Genomic DNA, 22107 nt, shown 5'->3' on the forward strand with positions numbered 1-22107 from the left:
AAGGACATGAACTCATCCTTTTTTATGCTTCATAGTATTCCATGGGACAACACATATTTTAAAACTGCTATTTTGATTATTTGCATTAGAATGGAGTCCTTCAGAGCCTCAAATCAATAGTGTATATTTATAAATTCTGGACTTCTTTAAGGCTTCTGTATGTAAAGCACCATTAAATATTTACCTCTCTTTAAATATTTAAAGGAATAAGCTTTAATTATATTTCCAGTGTTCTATTTATCTTTGCGTTATTCCAAACAAAATGGGAGGGAATTTATTTATACTACATGTCAAAACTGTCTTGTGAAGTAATGCTTTAGCTAATATTACAGAAAATGATAAGCCAAAGTATGATTCTTTGGTATGCTAAGTACTTTGAACTAAAGGAGATTAGAAGGCCTCAGAAACAGCCTCAGAAGCAAAGTCTCTCTCTGACCTCCTGCCCTCCTGTCTCCTGTCCCTCTTTCTCACTTGAAGTGAGTAATAGAAATTGGAATTCGTCTTCCTCTTCCCTAAAGCAAACCATAAAACCTCAAAAGGTCACTCTGTGCCTTCTCCCTCAACAATCTCATTCCAGCGGGGTCCTGCCCCATACCCAGGAGGAAGGAAAGCTTCACAGCCAGAAGAATCTGCACAGACAGGCCTTGAGGGTTTCCAGCCTCGATCTGTTACCATTAGATCATACCCTCTGTCCAATCACATTTCTATACAGTTATCCGTTTTTTATCAAACCTAAGCATATGATAAGTTTCCCTTGGGTCTTTGGATCTTTATTTCTGGAAGCTCCCATGTCACATAAAATTTTGATGAAATAAATGTATTATGCTATTCCCTTGTTAAATTGCCTTTTGTTATAGGAGTGTCAGCCATGATCCTTATGATGGATAAGGAAAGCTATTACACCTTTCTGCCTTTACATTAATATGATGTAGGCATTTCCGTAAACCAGCTGTCATAGAGATAGCTTTTCTCCAAGGACTTTCTACAGCATTAGGCTGCAGTCTCTAGGCACTGTTCGGCTGCTTACCTGCCCAAGAGTTTTCAAGTTTCCAGAGCACATCCTGAACAGTGCTCTCCTGCCAAAACATCAAAACCCTGATGTCTGAAATTTCTTCTCTGACCCTTAGAATGAAGTCAGCTCTCAGTGAATTTGTCATACTTCATCAGTTTTCTATATTTTGGTGACAACTGTTATTATATTTTTAGTGCACCTCTTTAATTAATATTTATCCTTTTTAATTTGGTAAGATACTTGCTTATTACCCTTTTCTTTAGAATTAGTCTTCCCAGTGGAAAAGATACAAAATAGGACTTTATTTCTTCCGCATAGAAGTGTGCTTGTCCGAAGCCTCTGCGTCTTTAGCTACGTGTCTTTTCTTTGTGTACTCTAAAACTAGAGTAGGAAGAAGGTAGGCCCTAGTCTCCCGGCACCAATGCCGGGCCTTAACCTGTGCCTCTGTGCTCTCTAGGAGAGCCACAGAATTCAGGAATCTAGGTCATGGCTGAAGGAGTTATTAGGCTATACCTCCTAGTGAGATCATCCAACATTTAAAGAAGTTTATTATTGAATTTTACTGTTCATATATTTCACCTGTATCAGGGTGAGTTATAGCAGACTCCAATAGCCATACCATATCCACAGGTCAGTTTAATTAAACACTTGCTAAATTAATTAATCAATCCTGGAAAATATGAAATGTATGAAACTATGTCTTTAAGAAAACTATAAGTGATATTCCTAAAACTTTGGGTATGATGATCTAATTTTGATTAAAAACTATGATTTATTCACATATATAATGGTAAATATGATATTTTAAAACAAAATTTGTGTCGTTTTGTCCCTTGAATATTTGGATTATGAATTATAATAAATTTTCATTTTCTTTTTGTGCTTATCTGATTTTTTCAATATTTTTTCTATAAATATGTATTCAGTTATAAGAAAATACAAATTTTCAAACTACATTGACAGCACTATGCTAGCCGCCCTTGCAGTGAGGTTGAAGAATTATTAAAATAACATTATGTAGTCTATGCTTTTAGAAACTTATAATTTGGTTTATTGACCAAGGACATATGCAAACAAAAATTTAAGTAATTATATATTAAAGATTTAAATAGTAAAAAAACCCAACATATTTTGAGGTAGTATGTAATGATAAGTGATAATGAATTTTCTATCTTTAAATAATCTTATTTAATTATTAGAAAATAAACCTTATAATGTATTTTGATCCTCTTTGTTAGGGTGAGAAAACTGAGGACTGTTTTTTGATCTGACTTGTAAATCTATATATAGATTACAACATAATAACAGCTAATATTTATAGGGTGCTTATTATGTGCCAGGAACAGTTCCATGGTTTTCCATGAGGTTAAGTATGGTACAGTGGTTAAGAGGGCAATTCCTTGAAACCTCTGCTTGACTTAAGTCTTCACTTTGCTATTAAGAGAAGCCATGTGAGCTTGGGCAAGTCATTTATCCTGATTGGGCCTTAATTTCTTCATTTTGAAAACTAAGGCAATAATATGTCTTACAGGGTATCAAGTGGATTAAATAAATGGTATACATAAAATACTTAGCACAAATGTGGTATTGTGTTAGCTATTACCACAATATATTAACTCATTCAAATTTTATAATGGTATCAGGCAAGCATTAATGATATCATTAATATTAATATGTCTACTTTTAGATGGAGAAATCAAGACCAAGAAATGTTAAATGATTTACCCGGAGACAGTAGGTGGCAGGGCTAGATTTGAACTATGGTACTATCACGCTAGTGTCTATGCTTGGAACCACTCTATTGAACTGTGTCTTCCAATGATAAACAGTCCAATATCTTTAACATTATGAATAAGTTGCTGCTAAGTAATAAGTAATGCATGTCTTCATGATGCCATAAAATAAATATGCTTTTGAAAAACAATAGTGATTTTCTATGTAACATATAGTATTAGAGTTTTAAGAAGTAAACAGTTGTCTCTGGTATTTGGTAAACTAATTTAATCAAATCATATATCCTTACTGAGGACAAGGGTAGAATTCTCTCTCCTCTCTCCTCCTTCTACCCTCTCTCTCTGTCTTCCTCTCCATTCCACACTCCCACCCAATCTTCTACCTAGCTAGCATTGTGTTGCTTTTGTTTTTTGTCTGAGGGTCAGTGTTGGTAATGGAAACCTCACAGTGAATTCAAGTCTTTTTCTCTGAGATATAATTGAAATCTCAGAAGCCATTGACTTCAATGTGGAGTTCAAATTCTTATCCCAAAATATTTTACATGATTATTGTCATAGCCTTTACATTTCAGTACTTTAGATGGGAAAGGGTTTGATAGTATAAATGGTTTAAAGTAGTTTTTATTGAAGAAGTAACAATAATAGGGTAGGCACATAATTTATTAGATACATATTTGCTAATGTAATCGGAACTATCACTAGAAAAGAAAGCAAATCAAAGCAATTAAATATTTATGCTTGAAGAATATTCTAAGTTCAATAAAATTTAAACCAATTATAGAGTTTTTAAATTGTTTAAATTGTGAGTCATAAATATCAACCTAATTATATATCTGTGGAATAGCTTTGTTTTTTGTCCCTAAAATAGTTAAATCCAGTGGTTCTCACCCCTGACTGCACGTTAGAGTCACGTTAGAATAGGGCGTGGGGGTTAAAAATCCTGATGTCCACGTTACACACTTGACTATAATCTGTGGGGGAGGGACTCAGACCACATTTTTCTGCAGATTCCGAAGTGATTCCAATATGCTGACTACAATTGCTTTAACAGATTACTGAATGTTCATGTACACTGAACTGAAAGTTTGGCTCTTCAAAGGCATTCTATTAGAATAGCAGAATTTGCTTCTCAGCCACTTGAAGTTTGGCTCTCATCACAGGAACAAGCATCTTCCCATAGAGAAAGGATGTTCAATTTGGCAGAACTCTGAGCACAGGAAGAACCATGAAGGACATTATTTATCTTTTCCCTGGGCTTGCGGCAATCATTACACATGAACATGTTTATTTATTACAATAATAAATGGTTTTGTTTTTAGATTCACATGCAAGAATCTCAGCATCTTCAAAGAAGGACCTTTCATAGTCTCTAAAGTCTCAAACTCACTTGTTTTTTATCTTTCTTTGCTCTCTGCATATATATGAATTTTGGCAGGCAGAATTTTCATTGATTAAAATCAAAGAAACATTTTTTTCAAATAATGTTTTAAAAATCCCAGATATTTCCAACAGATGAAAAGCTGGCAATTGGGCCCCTTGCTTTGAAAGAAAAATATAAAGATACAATATTCTTAGAAGTCTATTTCTATCCAAGAATCTTACATTTGTTGTTAAAGCCAATAGCTTCATTGTCAGGTAATAGAAAATCAGAGCTTTCTCTCCTCCCTGGGGGTACTCTCCTGAATAAATGGAGCTCAGGCTGCTGTCTGACACCAACTAAATTAAAGAGCCATCTTTTAATAGCTGAGGCATGAAGCTATTATCTTCCTGAATATACCACCTACTGAGAAGCAAAGACTACGGAACCATCTTAAGACATGCCTCTAAATAATCCTAAATGGAGGGCCCAAGAAGTAGAGATAGGAAAGGAAATATCTTCTTACACTTCCAGTGTCAGTTTCTTCTTAGTTCATTTTCTCCCTCATATTCTCCAATAGTCTTGGCTTTTATACTCCTCTTATACATCTACCATCATAGACAGGGTCCATTCTGCACAAGAATAGTCTTATTATAATATTAAGCTCTGTCACTCTGTAGGAAAGTAAGGACATCACATCTTAATAGTTTACTTGTTTTATTTTAACATTATGAAACTCTGTAAGATCCTTCAATATTAGTATCAAGCAAGTTTTGTATATGACCAGGCCACAATATACAAAAATTGCTGGCAAGGTGAAGATATCGTCCATCTATGTAAGAACTGAAACACTAAAAGTAAATGATTTAATTTCATATTATCCTTGGACTTTTTTCTTCTCCAAGGCAATTAATGTATTGCAAGTAAGTATGGGAAAAATTTTAAGGTACATTTTTATTTGAATATCAATGACAAACTCATTTAGGTGTGTTTCTGTTCAAGTCATTGCACCAGCAATAGATCCTTGCATTCAAGAATTCATTTCTGTATATCAGAAAAATCCAGAAACTATTTTTTATGTTGAAAATCCAGAGTAGGGGTGGAAATATTGCAAAATATATTCCTTGCTATTGGGAGTGTAAAGTGCTAAAGAGAAGAACTTAAGTATGAAAAGAAAAACCTTTTTTTAATTCAGCACTCATGATTAAGTTATAAAGCATTTAAAATGTGTTAATCTAATCAACAACACAATAGATTTCTGGGATTGCTGAACTGGTGGGCAAAATTAATTATGCTTTGAGTCATATACAAAGAGAAAAAAGTCAATATATTTTGGGATAATACTATAGTTGATTTAGCGACACCATATAAATGCTCTTTTTTTTTTTTTGACTTTGCAAGAGTACTAGGAAATGAAAATTGTACGTATTTACAATTTGAAGTCAAATGTATCAGAACAAGAATGAATTAAATGCCTTTCTTGGAAATAATGTATTGACAGAGTTTGACACAAAGAAAAATAGCTAAGATTCTACAACTCAGAAGAATTAAAAGATACTGCAGTAACACAAAATTGACTTTTAATGTACCAGTTCATTGTATCTTACAGAAAATCAAAACATTTTTTTTTTGGTAATACAGATTGATTCTTCTCCTCAAAGTTATACTTGATATCTATTAAATGCCTTTAAATATTGGTTTTCTTTTAATCAGGTGGCTTAATAACTTTTGTATTTTTCATCTCTTTCGTTGTACATCCATTGCCGCTCTGGCAGTAGTGAGCTACGATACAGTTAACTTCTTAACAAAACGATGTCAGTTATCCGTTGATATTTCTTAATGCATCCTATGCTAAAAACTGATAAGTGATTCCCTTTTAATCCTCCCCTCCTTAGTGGTCAGCTACTCCATGAGACCACCATATTCTTTGGAGTACTAAAATCAAGAAACCCAGAATGGCTGCCAGCAACCAAATTGTAATCTCCTTTGAGTCTACTTCTAATTGCCAAAATAAAAAGTGACTATATTGTTGCATAAAATAACACTTTGACAGGTACCAGCCCCCTTTCCATGAGAGAAAGTTTAAATTTACAAACGCCATATTTGGCTAAAAATTACTGTGACACAATATGACAGCACTCACTTAAAGATGGCTTCCAGTGTTAATGTGACCAACTTATTTTCGTTCTTATGTTGTCTTTTTATTTGAATTGCTTCTTTTTGTTTGGGTTTTCCAATGTAGATGTCTCAGTGAAATGTGCAGATATACTTTGTTCCTTATATGGTCACCAGTGTTAATTATGGACAAATACATTAAAACAAGGGTTCCTGGCCCAGCCTCCCATCTAATCTCTTTGATACTCTTGGAATCTAAGTCTGAGGAGCGATTTCTGAATTAGCCAGTGTTGTACCAACTTTCTGTTAGGAATTGTATTAGAATAACCTTTCTTTTTCAGACCTGCTCAGTGAGACATCTTGGGGAATGAAGTAGGAAAATAGACATTTGGTGGAAAAACAGCAAAATGAGAACATTAAAAAGACTCATTCAAGTATGAGTATAAAGGGCATGGAAATTCTGGTCCTTTGAGCAAAATGAGAAGAAAAAATTCTGCTCAGCAGTATTCACTGTGTTAAGATTTTTTGTTTTTTACACGAATGGAAAAATGATGTGTAAGTGGTATAGATTTTAATCAGCTAACAGTCACTCCAGAGATTTTGATCAGCACCAATTCCTATAGTAGTAAGTATTTAAAAGTTAAGAAATACTACTACATTTAACATTATAAAGTAGAGTTCTGGACATAACTGAAAATTAGATGTTTGCTTCAATAGAAATTTGTTCCCACTTGTATTTTCAACAAAATTATCGGAACATACATAATAATAGTTCAAGTATGGACTTCTTTCAATGAGCTAGCCCCCATATTTGAGGTGTTAAAGTTGTTATTTGGGAGATAGTCCCCTCTTTAAATAATATATCATCTCATCCTAGACCATTTAGGTATCTTCCTTAATTTAGAAGTGCAAGTTCTATTTATACCACCAGTGTTTGAGTTTAAACTTTACAAACTCTTTGGATTTATAGTTTTGTACAGTTTGCATATCCAACCTAACTTAAAAATGTGCATACATAACATTGTCATCTTTTAATATTAAAGCATCTGAAAATTTTCAGATATGTTTTTGATGAAAGAAAGGACCTACTTTTATTACAATATTTTGTCTGAATAATATATGATTATAGTTATGGTTTCATGGACTTCCAATTGTTCTATACCTTCCACACACAGAACTCTATAGAGTAAATTTATTAGAATTATTACAGAGCTTTAAATGCAACCACAATCCATTCAGGAAACAGATTTATTTACTCATGTTCATGGGAGGAAAATCTACATAAAAACATTCATGAAAGCATACCGGCTATGTCATACTTGGATTATTATAGTAAATCCCATTTATTAGAACTCATTGTGAAACAATGGGAAACCATGAAATGTAATTTGAATACAAATATTGGTCCCTGTGGGGTCTCAGCAGTCATAAAAATATAGGAAAACAGAGCTTTATTTAAGAAGATTGGAGCTGCTAATGTGGAAAATTGTGTTTGGAAGCTGGACTTAACCTTTTATTTAAAGCCCTGAAGATTTTAGTGTAAACTCTTTGATGACAGCTTCAGCATTTAATTTAAGCCTAATGATGACCAGCAAGGAAAGTGACATCATTAACCACATTTTCTGTTTGGGATAAGGTTTAGAACTACACTGTTGACTTTTCCCCCCAAACACAGGCACTGGTTGGGTTCTCTCGTGTATATACAAATAGGAATAATAAGAATTTTGAAAGTTGCATCTTTGTTTCTGCATTAGGGATTCCTTTTATAATGTAATTGATTTTCATATAATGTAAATATGAAATATTAAATCAGTTTAAAGTTATTTTTATAGGACAATAACATTTCATAGGCTAACAGAAAATCAAGCTGCTAAATTTTACAATTTTTCTGTCCAGCAGTTTATCTATATAACTGCCCTGAGTAGATGCTAAATGCTGCTTAGCAAATGGCCCTTAGAATTTAAATACAACTCGGTAAAGCTACTCAAAAGATAAAACAATTCCTCTTAGACATGTGTAATTTTAATTATAAGAAGGTAGAAGTCTTTTTCATTGGTTAAATATTATCTGCTTATTTATGTGTCATGCTTCATATAAATGGGATTATTGAGGAGTTTTAACTGTGCTTGTTACTATGGATTGGAATCCATATGAATTTTTTTTTTTTTTTTTGGTCAGAAAGGCAGGATTTTAAAGAGTAAAATATTCTGCCTATTAGAGACTTGAAATATTAACTTTTAGAAAGGTATAGATTGTTCCCTTGTGAAACTGAGTTTTGTATAACCTCTCAGTTTATGTAAAGAAGCCTGTATTTCAAATGTGTTGCTCTAATTTGTTTATTGTAGTGCATTTCAAAATTGTACAAATGTGTAAAGTTTGTGCTTGTGGAACCTGCTGCTCTGAGTAGCTTTACTTTCCTTAATTTAATCCTAGCAATTCTTAAGCTATTGCATGCCCCGTTCATGAAAGGATACTTTGTTGGGATGATACAGCTTAAACAGTTTGGCTCTAAGTCTCCTTACATAGAGCTTCCCTTAAATTTATATTAATTTATAATATATATTGAATGATAGCTTTACAAAAAACAAATCAATGAATTGATCTTTATGAAAATGACTCTTTACAGTAAGTAAAAAAGGGTTATCACAGTTTTGGTAACTTGCATGAGTTCATATTGGAAAAAAAAAACACCTTTCACATGTTCTTAATGACTTTAAAACTGATGCGCTCTAAGGGCACATTCAGTTGTATGCTCTGAAGCAGTAGACACCATACAGCTTATGCTTTTTATCTGGGAAACCCACGAAGCGCACTGCAGCCTCAGTAGGACTGCAGCGCCTTCTTGGCCTAGAGATGGGGTAGCGGACGCTGCCATCCGCCAACCAGCCCGCATCACAGCGGTCATATCCGAGAATTTTCCAGGCAGCAAATATCTGGCCCACTTTTGCAATCTGAGCACCATCATTGAGACAAGCTTGCACCGCTTCATCATAGGTCAGTTTGGTGGGGTGGATCAGATAGTAAAAACGGCCTGTAGAGAAAAGGAGACAGAGTCAATGGGCTGGTCTTCAATTGAGCCACACAGAGATAGAAAGAGCCAAAAACGGAAGTGTTTCTCAATGAAGGGGGATATAGAGCAATGTTTGTAAAATTTTGGGAACATAGAAATGTCAATTAAATATAGTGTCCCTACGTCACTTCCATTAAATTAGTTTTTTCCCTTGCCCCTTAATATGTGTCCAGACATGCCCCTTTTATAGCTTTAAAAAGAAAAGGGAAATGGCAGATGCAGTTTCTGTTAGCTAATTAGTGACTAAAAGAGCCCTTCTGTGGCACTAGAGAAGACAGAATTCCATGTTAAAAGCAAGGGCTATTTAAATTCTAGCTGTACAAGACTGAACCCCAGCACAAGTTTCTGGAGAGGCAAAATTTGAATGTGAAAGGATCAAAACACATTCCTGACATAAAAGTCCATTTAAAAAAAAATCAAAAGCCCTCAAGTCCTTTTCATTACAGGTATCAATTAGACATTATTCTCATTCAAAGACTACGTATGAAAATGCGTAAAATACAGGAAGTCACTTGCCACAGATAATACGTACTTAGAATGTAAACCTAGTCTGTGTTGGTTCACTAGCAAAGAAGACAAATTTGTTTATTTTTTTCAACTTCCATTTGTTGAAACCCTGACACCTAACTATTTCTCAATTTCACTAGGAAGACAAATTAGTCCCGATCACTTATTGAATAGTGTTAATTACTGAGATTCCTTCAATATGTATTAAGTATGTGTAAAATGTATAAAATATGACTTCAACTGACTGAAAGTGATAAATACACATGGACTGAAGATTTTCTTATACATCTTAGTTTTAGGTCGAATCTAATCAGACTCTCTTGCCTGATTAGACATGTAATATGATGTTCCCCTGACCCTCATTAGATATAGGTTACTGAAGTATAAATTAATGCTTGCCAGTTCTTTCTAGACTGAGATGATGTGATTTGGAGAAAGGGTAGTGGCCACTGGAATATTAACTAGAGGTTAAGTACAATCATCTACACCAGAGTTCAGCAAACTATAGCTCATGGGTCAAAATTGGCCTCCTACCTGTTTTTGTAAATGAAGTTTTATTGGAATGCTGCCATCTCCCTCTGGGTTTAGTATTTTGATGGCTGTTTTTGTGCTACAACATACACATTTACAATGAGCCTTTGCAGCAGACACCATATGGCCAGCAAAGCCAAAAATATTTACTATATGGCCCTTTACAGAAAAAGATTGTCGGCCAGGCACAGCGGCTCACGTCTGTAATCCCAGCACTTTAGGAGGCTGAGGCAGGCTGATCATGTGAGGTCAGGAGTTGGAGACCAGCCTGGCCAACATAGTGAAACCCCATGTCTACATTAAAAAGAAGAAAACTCACAAAACCAAAAAACAAAAATTAAGTAGGCGTGGTGGCATGCACCATGGTCCCAGCTACTCAGGAGGCTGAGGAGGGAGAGTCATTTGGGAACCAGGGAGGTGGAGGTTGCAGTGAGCCCAGGTCATGCTACTGTACTCCAGCCTGGGTGACAGACAGGGTGATACCCTGTCTTAAAAAAAAAAAAAAAAAAAAAAGATTATTGACCCCTGACCCATAATCTCTTTCTATTTTTCCCAAAGCATGTCACCAGGGACCTCAAATATAAATAATGGAGCCAGGGCTTGCTTCATGGGTGTGTGACCTGTGCCACCACACAGGGCCCCACACGGAGAAGGGCTCTGCATTTAGTTTAATGTTCCGCTGTCACCATCTTAAAATTTTTAACAGTTTTGAACAAGGAGCTCCACATTTTCTTTCCTTTTTTTTTCTTTTTATTTATTTATTTTTTCTTTTAGAGATGGGGTCTCACTATGATGCCATGTCTGGTCTCAAACTCCTGGGCCCAAGCAGTGCCCCTGCCTAGGCCTCCCAAAGTGCTGGGATTATAGGCGTGAGCCACAGCACCCAGCCCACATTTTCATTTTACACCGGGCTGCACAAATGATGTGGCTGGTTCTGAAGACAGCAAGAGAAGGGCTGAGAGGTGTATGAATAAAATGAATCAGTCATCAACACTGCTGCAACCTTTCCTTCTGCTTTCACCTTGAGAGTTAGTTCTATTTTCTTTTTCTTGCTTACTCCCCACTTTGTCCTGAGCTCTGTTGATCACCTATGAATAAGTGTATATGTGATTGTGATTGAGAGAGGGAGAGCATGGGTAATAATGAAGGCACGCTTACTTTGATTGACAGAACCATATCCTACGGAGGGCACACACTGGCAGCATCATCTTTGACAATAGGTAACAGACCTCAAGCCACATAACAGTTTCAATTATTTCATATAAAAATGGGATGAAATAAAACGTAGGAGTACTGGGAATATGTACTTTTGCTTGACTTGTGTGGATATTTAAAAATTATGACACTCAAGAACTTTTTATATCTTTTTAAACTACAGCAAAACTTCAAAGCTTGTTTTTGTTTGTTTTTCTAAGAAGATAAGATTAAAAGCCAAGTGTAGTGTTATAGTATGGAATAGTCTGTGAGATAGGAAAGAAGGCAGTACAGTTATTATCTTACCATTGAAATTGGATGTAAAACAGAAAACATCATATCTGCTTTTATCTTTATCCCAAAATCCGTAGTTCCTGACTCCGGGCACTGTGTTCTGCCCCCCACAGGGCTCTCTGGGCTTTGTGATGGGATATTGCACAGAGCCATCACTGAGCCAGCCGGCATTGCACCAGTCCAGCCCGCCCCGCCAGGCGTCGTACAGCTGGTCGAAGGAGGCGATCACAGCATCCTGGTCCAGACACGCCTGCTGCGCCTCGTGAAAATTGAGATTGTAGCGCCCCAGTCGTGGAAAGTAAGGGAATACCACACCTGTCCAAAGGAGAAAGCAAGGAGTTGTTAGAAGCCCCAAAACTAACAACTCTGAGCAAATGCCACCTAGTTGGTGAAAAACCTAACAGACCCTCCATCAGATGAGACAGTAGTTTTTCGTCAACTAGCAACTGTTTCTCATGATCCCTTTCCCCTTCAAGCAGCCTCTCAGTTCTGAGCATCTCATGATCAGCTTTTTAATTTTATAACTTCAGTGATTTACTGCTTTAGCTAAGAGTTCAACTCAAGTCTTAAAATTCTCCTTTCTGAAGAGATCTGTCTACAGTTTACAGTTTCCAAATAGCCCTCCCCAGGAACTTACCATTTGCTGCCAGTTACTAACACTATAATGGGTTACTACTGAGCTCTGTCACCTAGGGAAAAAGTCAATATTGAATACTAAGAGTTGGTGGCAAATATAGAAATAGTCATTGTTGAATACTAAGAGCGGAGGGGATGTAGTGCTCCAAGAGAGGTACTTATCAAAATTCACAATGTTTTTCTTAGTGTTTTTCCTATATAATTAGTAATTAGTTTTATGTAGTCTTTTAAATGTATAAACAAGCATATTAACAAATTATTCAAATGTAGATATATAACTTTTTACATGTTCTTCTAATAACTTGCAGATAAGTAACCTTCACTTAGGGGGGACTCTTATTTGGAGAAATGTGAAAACAAGCTTGTCCAACCCATGGCCCATGAGCCACATGTGGCCCAGAACAGCTCTAAATGCAGCCCAACAAAAATCTGTAAACTCTCTTAAAACATTGTGAGATTTTTTGTGATTTTCTTTTTTCTTTTTCTTTCTTTTTTTTTTTTTTTTAGCTCATCAGCTATCATTAGTGTTAGTATATTTTATGTGTGGCCCAAGACAGTTCTTCTTCCAATGTGGCCGAGGAAAGCCAAAATATTGGATACCCCTGCTAAAGTGGACTCCTTTGCATATTTAACAAGAAAATAATTAAACAACTTTATTTCAGATTAATAAGACAGATCTGTACAGTGAGGCACGCCTCCATAGAAAGCATCATGGTACTCTTGCATGTTTACTTTTAATGTAGCCCTTAATCTTATTTTTTTTCCCTGCCCTTAAATAGCAGGACTAAAACAAGGGCTTTCATTTAAAAGTATTTCCATTACTATTTTTCAACTTCCACATGTATATATTGCAAACTGAAAGTAAGGGGTTTGAAACATTTTTATTATAAACAGGAAAAAAAAACTTCCCTAAGCTTGTCCTGTAAAAGGTAGGTACAGAATAGACATCCATTGATTGACTAATGCCAAATAATTAAGTTAAATATTTTGAGGACAAAAGTTCCTTAGCAAATGTAAACAGTGTGACTTCGTATTTGATTTTGCCTAGGAAGGTGTATGGCTTTCCAAAACATTTCTTTTGGTCAAATAATTATGGGAGGTGACCAAGCTGTCTCACAACACTCTGCCCATTTTCTTTAAAGGCTAAGGATTACCACATAAGAAAGCAAAGTTGCATCACTTGCTGGACTTTGAAAAGGACTAATGTGTCAAAGTATTTCTCCCATGGTTATTAAAAGATAAGTAATTTTGAATCATTATTCAAGGGCTTGCCTTGAATTTTTTAATATAATTAGAAATAACTAGTATTTTGGCATCTGGAATGCAAACATTTGTCCCACTGACACAGTAATTTGGTGAGTTATAGCACATGTGCTATTTTATGAGACTGCAGACGCTATTCAAGATGATGTACAAACTCACTAATAGCATAACCAGTACACAGAAATATTTCTTTAATAAATTGTCCTAGAAGACTCTACAAGAAGAAATTTCAATGGCCTTAAATCAAGTCACATCCACTGAAGGCCTCGGTAGGACACGTTTGTCTCTGTAGGGCAATCCAGCTGGCACCATCCATGAAAGGCAGAGACCCAAGAAGGCTTCCTGATCTCATTCTGCCTTCTCAGGTTCTTGGCTGAAGGATCTATAAGCTGAATCAGAGCCAAAAGGAAGGAGTAAAAGCCTCTCTTGGTTGCCACTAACTCCTGTGGTGAGGGGTGAGGGAAGGCCTGGAGATGGTTCTATCTAAGGAGGGCTCTGCCCAGGCACTGAGCTGGGAACCCAGTGAGTGCTGGGAAATAACTATTATGGTGCCCTGGTCCCTCATATCTTTTATCCTCTTTCCTCAGCAACCCTGGGAGTGCTGATGAAAAGGAAAATATTTGATTTATTCAGTAGAGATTCCTTTTAGCTAGATCTTAAGTGACAGAAAATCTCAAAGTATCTCAACCTGAGGAGAGAAAGAAACCAGTGGGGTTGACTTCCATTTCCAAAATGGCTGAAGATGGTAACATTGGAGAATGCAGAATATTTTAATTTATACTAATTTTAAAGACCTGGAAAATCTTTCAGGTTTAAATTCACTGTAGTGTATTTTGGTGGACTCTCATAAACATCGGGACAAGTTTTTCTCTAGTAATTTGTCCTTGATTAACCACTGAACATTACTTAAATACGATTTAGTTCCACATCCAGTGCTATATATTTTTGAGTTGTTTTCAAATTCAACATAATTTCATACAATCATTTTTTAGGGTCAAAGTGAAACTTATGTTAATATTTTAGTATTTTTCAATTGTAAGAATTGTCAACTAAGTGTTGTATCAGCTCAAAAGATTTACTTAACAAATTTGAATTACTGTTTGATGTGCTGGAAAGAACATATTCCAAGTAAATCAAGGTAAAGCTCTATGCTTTACTCAAAGTTTTAAAACTTTCCTTGTATTCTACAAATTTCACATACACATTTCAACAGTAAGATGTATCTTACAAGCAGGGCCATTTTTGGAACTTCATTATTGTTAGTATTTTATTTGTTTACTTATTATACTTCTGGCTAGTTAAGATTTTAACATCCAATTGCAGAAACCTTCTTGGCTCTGTAGAAAAAATGTGCAATTCTTACAGCTGAATTCTGGAGCAAATGGTTGCTTTTATCCAATGTTGCAAAAATAAAAAAAAGTTAAACTTTTATGGATGGGAAAGAAGGTGGTATGATTGTCCAAGGAATATCTGACTAATTTATCCTCCATACTTATATGTCAAAATATAATCAAAAGGGACACATAAAAGTTAAAGTAAGCTTTAATAATTACATAAAGTAAATATTTCTAGTCATAAAAAGGCAGCGACCATGTAGCATAAATAATATTACCTTCCTTAGTGCCTGTCATAGTGCTTATCAGTGCTATGCACATATCTGAAATTGCGTTTCTATTTCTGATAGTTCTCAGACTATAATTTTGTATATTTAGCCCCATTTTCACCAATGGAAGATAAATACAATGGAAGTTTGGAAGCATAAATGTCATGTTTTTCATATCATTATTTGTGTATTTATTGATTGCTGTGCTCAATTGAATTGCTGATTCTGTAGTCCAAGCTTCTTCCTAAATTCCTAGTGACACTCTTTTGTTACATCTGTATAAAGCTTGTTGCTTGTTGCCTGCTATTTCTAGGTAGGTAATTGGTGGCAGTCAGAGGGCTCTGCCCTCTCCAAGATTCTGTATGAAAATGCCGTGTTTCCATATCTAATTCCAACTCACATGGAGGTCAGTCTTTGTTGAGGATTTACAATTTTTTTTTTTGTCAGTATGGTTATATGGACAGTTCTTAACAACTAACAGCAAGGCACTGTGCTTGGTACTCTAGGATATAGGTATGGATGTGGCCTCTTCCTATATTTGACTATATATATATATATATATATATATATATATATATATATATATGGTTTGAATCCAAGACAGAATAAATATATGTAGTTTGGATATATATATGGCTTGAATCCAAGGCAGAATAAAAGCTTGTAATACAAATAGGAGCTATATAATTTAGGCTACATGAAGAATTTTTTTTTCTAATTAGTAAAATTCTTTAGTGTAAATAGCATTTAAGCTGGTATTAAAGGACCAACTCAATTAAAGATAATGTGCAATTACAGTTGGAAAAGCAGCTCAGTCAAGGCATTTAAAATGAGATGCTTCCCTGGCCCTTTGGTGCATGTTAGAAGACTGACAGGGAGTTTGAGTACCACTGCCTGATTGGTAGATAGTCACATGTAAGGATGTCATTGATAATGAAAAAGGTTAAAAATGAGAACGAGAGCTAATAAGTGATAACCAGAAGGTATGTCTTTTGCCGTGTGTGGTTCAGCACAGATTTCAAACTCTTATGCATATAATCTGCTGCATCTTGAGTTTCTATCCCAGAATACATGGAGAGTGTCCTTAGCTTATGTCAAGTTTTCTCAAATTTTATTTTTATGGCTTTTATTTTATTCTTGTGGCTATCTGAATTTGTTGTAAATTTACTTTGAAATATCAATCCTCATCTTACTCTGAAGTATATTTAGACAAAATAATATCCCATCTGAGTTTTTCTTGAAAATTATTCAGTGGTAGTGGGAGTAAGAAAGCAAAATAAAATAAGATTGGCTATATCATGATACTTTTTGAAGCTGGATGATGATATATGGATTCATTACACTATTCCTTTTACTTTTCCAAATGTTTGAAATTAGCGACAATGAAAAGTTAAACATTCTTATCCCACCCTGCCACCAACGTGAGACTTAATGCAGGCAAGCTGGAATGCTGTCGGTGGTATCTGTTGTTCACATTTTTGCTTTGAGTAATTTCTCTCTCTTATCTATGATGCCCTCTCTCCTGCTTTTTCATGCTCATTACCTTTTGAAAGGCTTACATTCATGGTCCAAATCAAGTATCTGGTTTTTTTTTGTTTGTTTGTTTGTTTTTTTGAGACGGAGTCTCGCTCTGTCACCCAGGCTGGAGTGCAATGGCGCGATCTCGGCTCACTGCAATCTCCGCCTCCTGGATTCAAGCGATTCTCCTGCCTCAGCCTCCAGAGTAGCTGGGATTACAGGCACGTACCACCATGCCAGGCTAATTTTTGTATTTTTAGTAGAGATGGGGTTTCACCATGTTGACCAGGCTGGTCGCAAACTCCTGACTCCAAGTGATCAACCCGCCTTGGCTTCCCAAAGTGCTGGGATTACAGGCGTGAACCACCATGCCCGGCCGTGTCTCTTTCTTAAGAATGGTTTCCATGACTCCCACATTGCATGCACCCTTTTTTGTATTTGAAAGTTTAAACACTTTGTATCAAACATTCTTTTACTTGTAAACTATTTACTGAGCATGAATTCTGTTCTTGGCACTTGAATGTCCTCAAGTAGATCATGTTTAACAGACAAAGAAGTTTACAAATATTTACAAAACAAAATGTGATCAGAGCTATAATGGAAGTCTACATAAGGTGCTATGAGAACATCATGGAGGAGGCAGATTTAACAGCTACCACGAGCACAGGACAGGTCCTAGCTTATCGCTCCAATAACTTTGAGACTTTCAGAATTTTCTAAAGCCTGAAGCAGCTGAATGCTCCTGTTTTTTTAAAGCCTCTCCTCTACCAAAAGAAAATTTCTCCTTCTTACAAACCCTTAAATCACAGTGGAGTAGAGCATAGGCTTCATGCAATACCTTTGGTATCAAATTCCAGCTCTAGCTCTTACTAGAGCTAGCCATGTTATCTTAGAAAAGGTGTTTGTCTTAAGCTTCATCTATAAAGAAGATTGACTGAACATGAACAAAATAAATAGAACATATGATTATAGAAATTTGTTTGTGCCTACTTATTTTACTGACTTCTGCCTTATTTCATTAAATTATTTGAGAATCTTTAATGGACTATAAGATTGTTGAATGAAAGAGCAAAGATTGGAATTCTTTCCATCTCATGGCACCAAAACAGCACCTGTAAAAATATGTATCAATTAAATTGGTTTCTTGGACCACATTTACTTAGCTCATATGCATATATTCTATATGGCAGGGAATGTTCCCTAAGCATGGAGAGTCTGGAGATTTGCAATGGTGCAGAGCCTAGGAGAAAAAAATTCTTTTCTTTTTTTTTTTTTTTTTTTTGAGATGGAGTCTTGCTCTGTCGCCCAGGCTGGAGTGCAGTGGTGTGATCTCGGCTCACTGCAAGCTCTGCCTCCTGGGTTCACGCCATTTTCCTGCCTCAGCTTCCCGAGTAGCTGGGACTACAGGCGCCTGCCACCATGCCCGGCTAATTTTTTGTATTTTTAGTAGAGACGGGGTTTCACCATGTTAGCCAGGATGGTATCAATCTTCTGACCTTGTGATCCGCCAAAAATTATTTTCTTAGTCCCCTTTCAGCATCTCTAATTGTGTCTTGGAGGAGCCTTGATTTGACCCTATAATGCGTTATACTGTAACATAGGTTGAAGCTCCTTTAAAACAGTGACCTTATTTTATTGTATTTATTTTTATTATTTCCTTGTATTTCTGGTAAGTTATACTGGTTTCTTTTTATTTAGAGTTTAATTTTGTAAAATAAACATAGACAGTAAATATTGCATGTGAATTACTTAAGTTTAGGAAATATTTTGCTATATAAACATAGGGTTTTAGAAGAAAATGTAACAACAGATAATAGAATTCAAACTTGTTTAAGGATAAGTGATCTGCCCCAGTTACAAAACTGATACTGGCAGAGCTGAGGCGAACCTAAGCCTCTTAATACTACTAGCTCAAGGCTCTCTCCAACCTTCCATGCCCCTTTGATAAATAGTTTCAATTAATATTTGATGACCTACTGTCTTCTCTAAGTCAACTCCTTCCATCCTGAATAATGCCAATGTTCATGGATATTAATATGAATCAATAAAAACTTAAAGCAAAAGTGGCATGTACTCAGGGGCCAAGAACTACCTATGAGAGACAACGAAAGGTCACAAAAATGTACTTTACGATGTTGTGCAATTTATTAGATGTATAAAGCAAATAAATCTCCATATATGTGATAGGATTGTATGGGATTCAAAAGGTCAAATAGTGACACAAATCTGTCCTCAGGGGTAAAAGGAGCTTCTAGCAAGCGTACACTTAGAGTTTTATGTAGATAAGGAAGGAAAGCATTCTCTCAATGCTGCCAAAATCCACCCTTCAGTATAAAATAATGCTGAAATTTACGAAAAATAAGGTGTCCTGTGATCCATGAGAAACTAAGGAGAGGAGGGTCTCTAGAGGGTGGACATTGGGCAGAGGGGAGGCAAGGATGGCAAGGACACTTTTTATTGTACAGGTTTGTACACATGTTGGTTATTGAACCTATTGAATGGCCTACATATTTAAGAAATAGAATTCTCCCACAAAATGCCTCGACCGTATGGCTAAGCGACTCTGAACCATTACAAAATCACTTCTTTAGAAGAATATTTAAAGAAAGCTAGAGATTACTTTTTTGTTGAATTAAGGTTTTGCAGTCATTTTACAGAATACAATTACATATATTTTAGTTAGCAGATGTCCTTTACAAAACATGCCATTATTTTGAAACTGAGATAATTTTAGAAACAAAATAAAAAAAGTACACAGTCTGAATTTCTCAATAACCATATAATGGAATTTAGATGATTTTGAATAACATAAGGCAGTATCTGAAAACTGTTAATTCAGTTCCACTGCACGTTTCTCCTAGTTACAAATAGCTTCAATTTTGCACATAAGCATTGTGTATGCATTTCAAACATGAAAGCTGGAATCATAGGCAGACTGTAGAATACAAAAGAATAAGATGCCAGGCAAGGACTTTGGTTTTTCACTTTATTACTGTGTTAACCACTAGACATTACTCTTCATGAAAAAAAAAGCAACTATTAATGACCATTTATACGTTGAACATGACTTATAGATACATACCTTGTAAGTCCAGTGCTACCACAACAGTATCATCTTCTAATCCTTCAATCACCTCACACTTATATCTCCCATAATCTTCCAGAGTGAGGTCTGTGATGACCAGAGAAGCATCACTATCACTGCCTCCCTTCAGAAACACTCTACCCTGGTAGCCTCCATAGGTTTTTTTGTGGTATCCCATGGAAACAAAAACATCCACTTCCTTGAGGTAATCCGAAGTTAGCTTGGTCCACTTAATTCGGATTTTATGGATTCCTGAGCCAAATGCTGTAGGGTCTCGATAAAATTTACATGGCAGTGTAACATTGCCACCTCTGTGTGAAAACACCTTGGCTTGCTCTGCTTCCACAAGTAGATGGGGGCCATTTTCTGCTATAATTAAAAAGGAAAAAAAAAAGAAAATAACTATTAATATACTTTCAGACATTTTCATAAAATGAAATATATCACATATATAGGATATCTGACAAAGGATAGCTTTGAGTGGTTAGCTTCTCTACGTAATCTCTTTTGAACCATATAGAAAGGGACCTCTAATAACTAGAAGGTATCTCTAAAGTAGTCATTTTTAAACCAAAGGGGAGGAAGTTACATTATCGTCAGTAAGAAATGTTGGATATAAAACTCCATAGTCATCTGAAGGTCAATGATTTCATAATAAATTCTATTTATTATTGTTTCAATTTTTTCTTCTACATTTAAATATCAAAAATATAGAAACAAGACCAAGAGAAGTGAGAGAGTTGCATGATGGGTTCGTCAATATAAACCCAAACATTTCAAGGTAAGGTAAACCCAGCTGGGCTTTCTAATACAAGAAGTTTATATTGTACTTACAGGCAAAATATGAAGCAACATGATTCACTTTCATTGTACAGTTCTGGCCAAAGAACTCAGAATATCCTCACATTTATGGCTTCTAGTCAAATATACACCTGTGTTAGGCTCTTCTGAAATATTTCAGGAAATATGTATTTTGTTTTCACAGGAAGTTTAGACAAAGGTAATTTTAATAAATGCTTTCGACAAATTCCAGAAGATTTTGAAATGTATTCCTCAAAATTTGGATGTTAAAAACGTATCCAAAGTTATACTTCTTTTCTGATTAACCAAATACTTATTTGCTTCTTTACTCCCTTAAATATCCTTCTATTCTCTCTCTTTGCTTTCTGCTATGTCTTGTTTTGCAGTTATCTTATTACTTCCACCTTTCCTTTCCTTGTCCTTTTGTTTTCCTCCAAGTCCTTCCTCCAAGGACTCTATTGCCTTCCAAAGAGCACCACAATATCCTGAGCCTGCCAAGTCAGCAGGTCTGCCGTTTTCTACATACCAGCTGTTATTTTCAGATTTTGGCTTTCTCTGGGGTTTCCCCCTGGCTAGCACATTGTGCTTTTGACCTTGACAGTGTCTCTTGAGGATGTGCAAGATATGAAAATGAGAAAGTGACATAAGAGCTCCTGGATACGGATATCTTTGTGTCTATACACAGCTTTTAATAGCTACCAAAGCTGCCCTTCACACAACTCTGCAGACCTCCTGCCTTGGGCAGATAGGTGTTGAATAATCCTTTGCCATGAATCATTTAAGATGTCCAAATCACTGGGAAGAGTAGCCATGTTGAGACACACAGTTATTGAATGGCAAATATAGGATTTGGATTTTAAAATAGAAAGTATCCAAAAAATAGACACAGCATCTCTATTTTTATCATATAGCAATCAGAATTAATATTTTTAATGAGCATATCATTTCATTTATAAGTGAGTCCCAAGCCTCAAAAAGCTGAAAAGTTTAGCAAAGCCATCAATGCCCCTCACTTTGAATAGATAATGAAATGCGAGGATAATGGCTTCATTTATTACTTAGTTAAGAGGAATCACAAATCCAGCTCATTAAGCATTTCCTTTATATTCCATTCTTGATCTCATTATTTAGGACCATAGAATCTCAAGATATAAAACATAACTCTATGTAATTCTACCCTACATATAAGTTTTTCCTTACAATGTCCACAATGCCTGCATCCAACTTCTACTGAAACATCTCTAGTGCCTTCTTTCTAGGAGGAGGAAAAAGTGCTGTTGACTAAGATTTCTCAGTAATGCCTGAGGGTCATAGGGAACATTTCCTCACCAGTATCTTGTGGGGGGCAAGGGTGGTGTGTGGGAACACTCCAGGAGCTGGGCCTTCCC

General features: G+C 35.7%; 1 protein-coding gene across 7 annotated transcripts in view; it reads right to left on the reverse strand.

Moving 5' to 3' along the window:
• Positions 1-5267: 5267 nt before the first annotated feature.
• HAPLN1 (hyaluronan and proteoglycan link protein 1) overlaps positions 5268-22107 on the reverse strand; it is an 83051-nt gene continuing 66211 nt past the window's right edge. For 4 of the 7 annotated variants that reach the window (NM_001884.4, XM_017009051.2, XM_017009052.2 and 1 more), the window contains 3 exons: positions 19916-20287; positions 11826-12128; positions 5268-9248 (listed from right to left, as the gene is read on the reverse strand). In NM_001884.4, the coding sequence (NP_001875.1) occupies positions 8959-9248; positions 11826-12128; positions 19916-20287 (965 nt within the window). In that variant the 3' untranslated portion in view covers positions 5268-8958. The remainder of the gene's footprint in view (positions 9249-11825; positions 12129-19915; positions 20288-22107) is intronic. The other 3 variants (XM_017009053.2, XM_017009054.3, XM_047416737.1) reach the window with 1 other exon arrangement.

The sequence above is a fragment of the Homo sapiens genome, chromosome 5 (assembly GCF_000001405.40).
Source record: "Homo sapiens chromosome 5, GRCh38.p14 Primary Assembly".
Taxonomy (NCBI): Eukaryota; Metazoa; Chordata; class Mammalia; order Primates; family Hominidae; genus Homo; species Homo sapiens.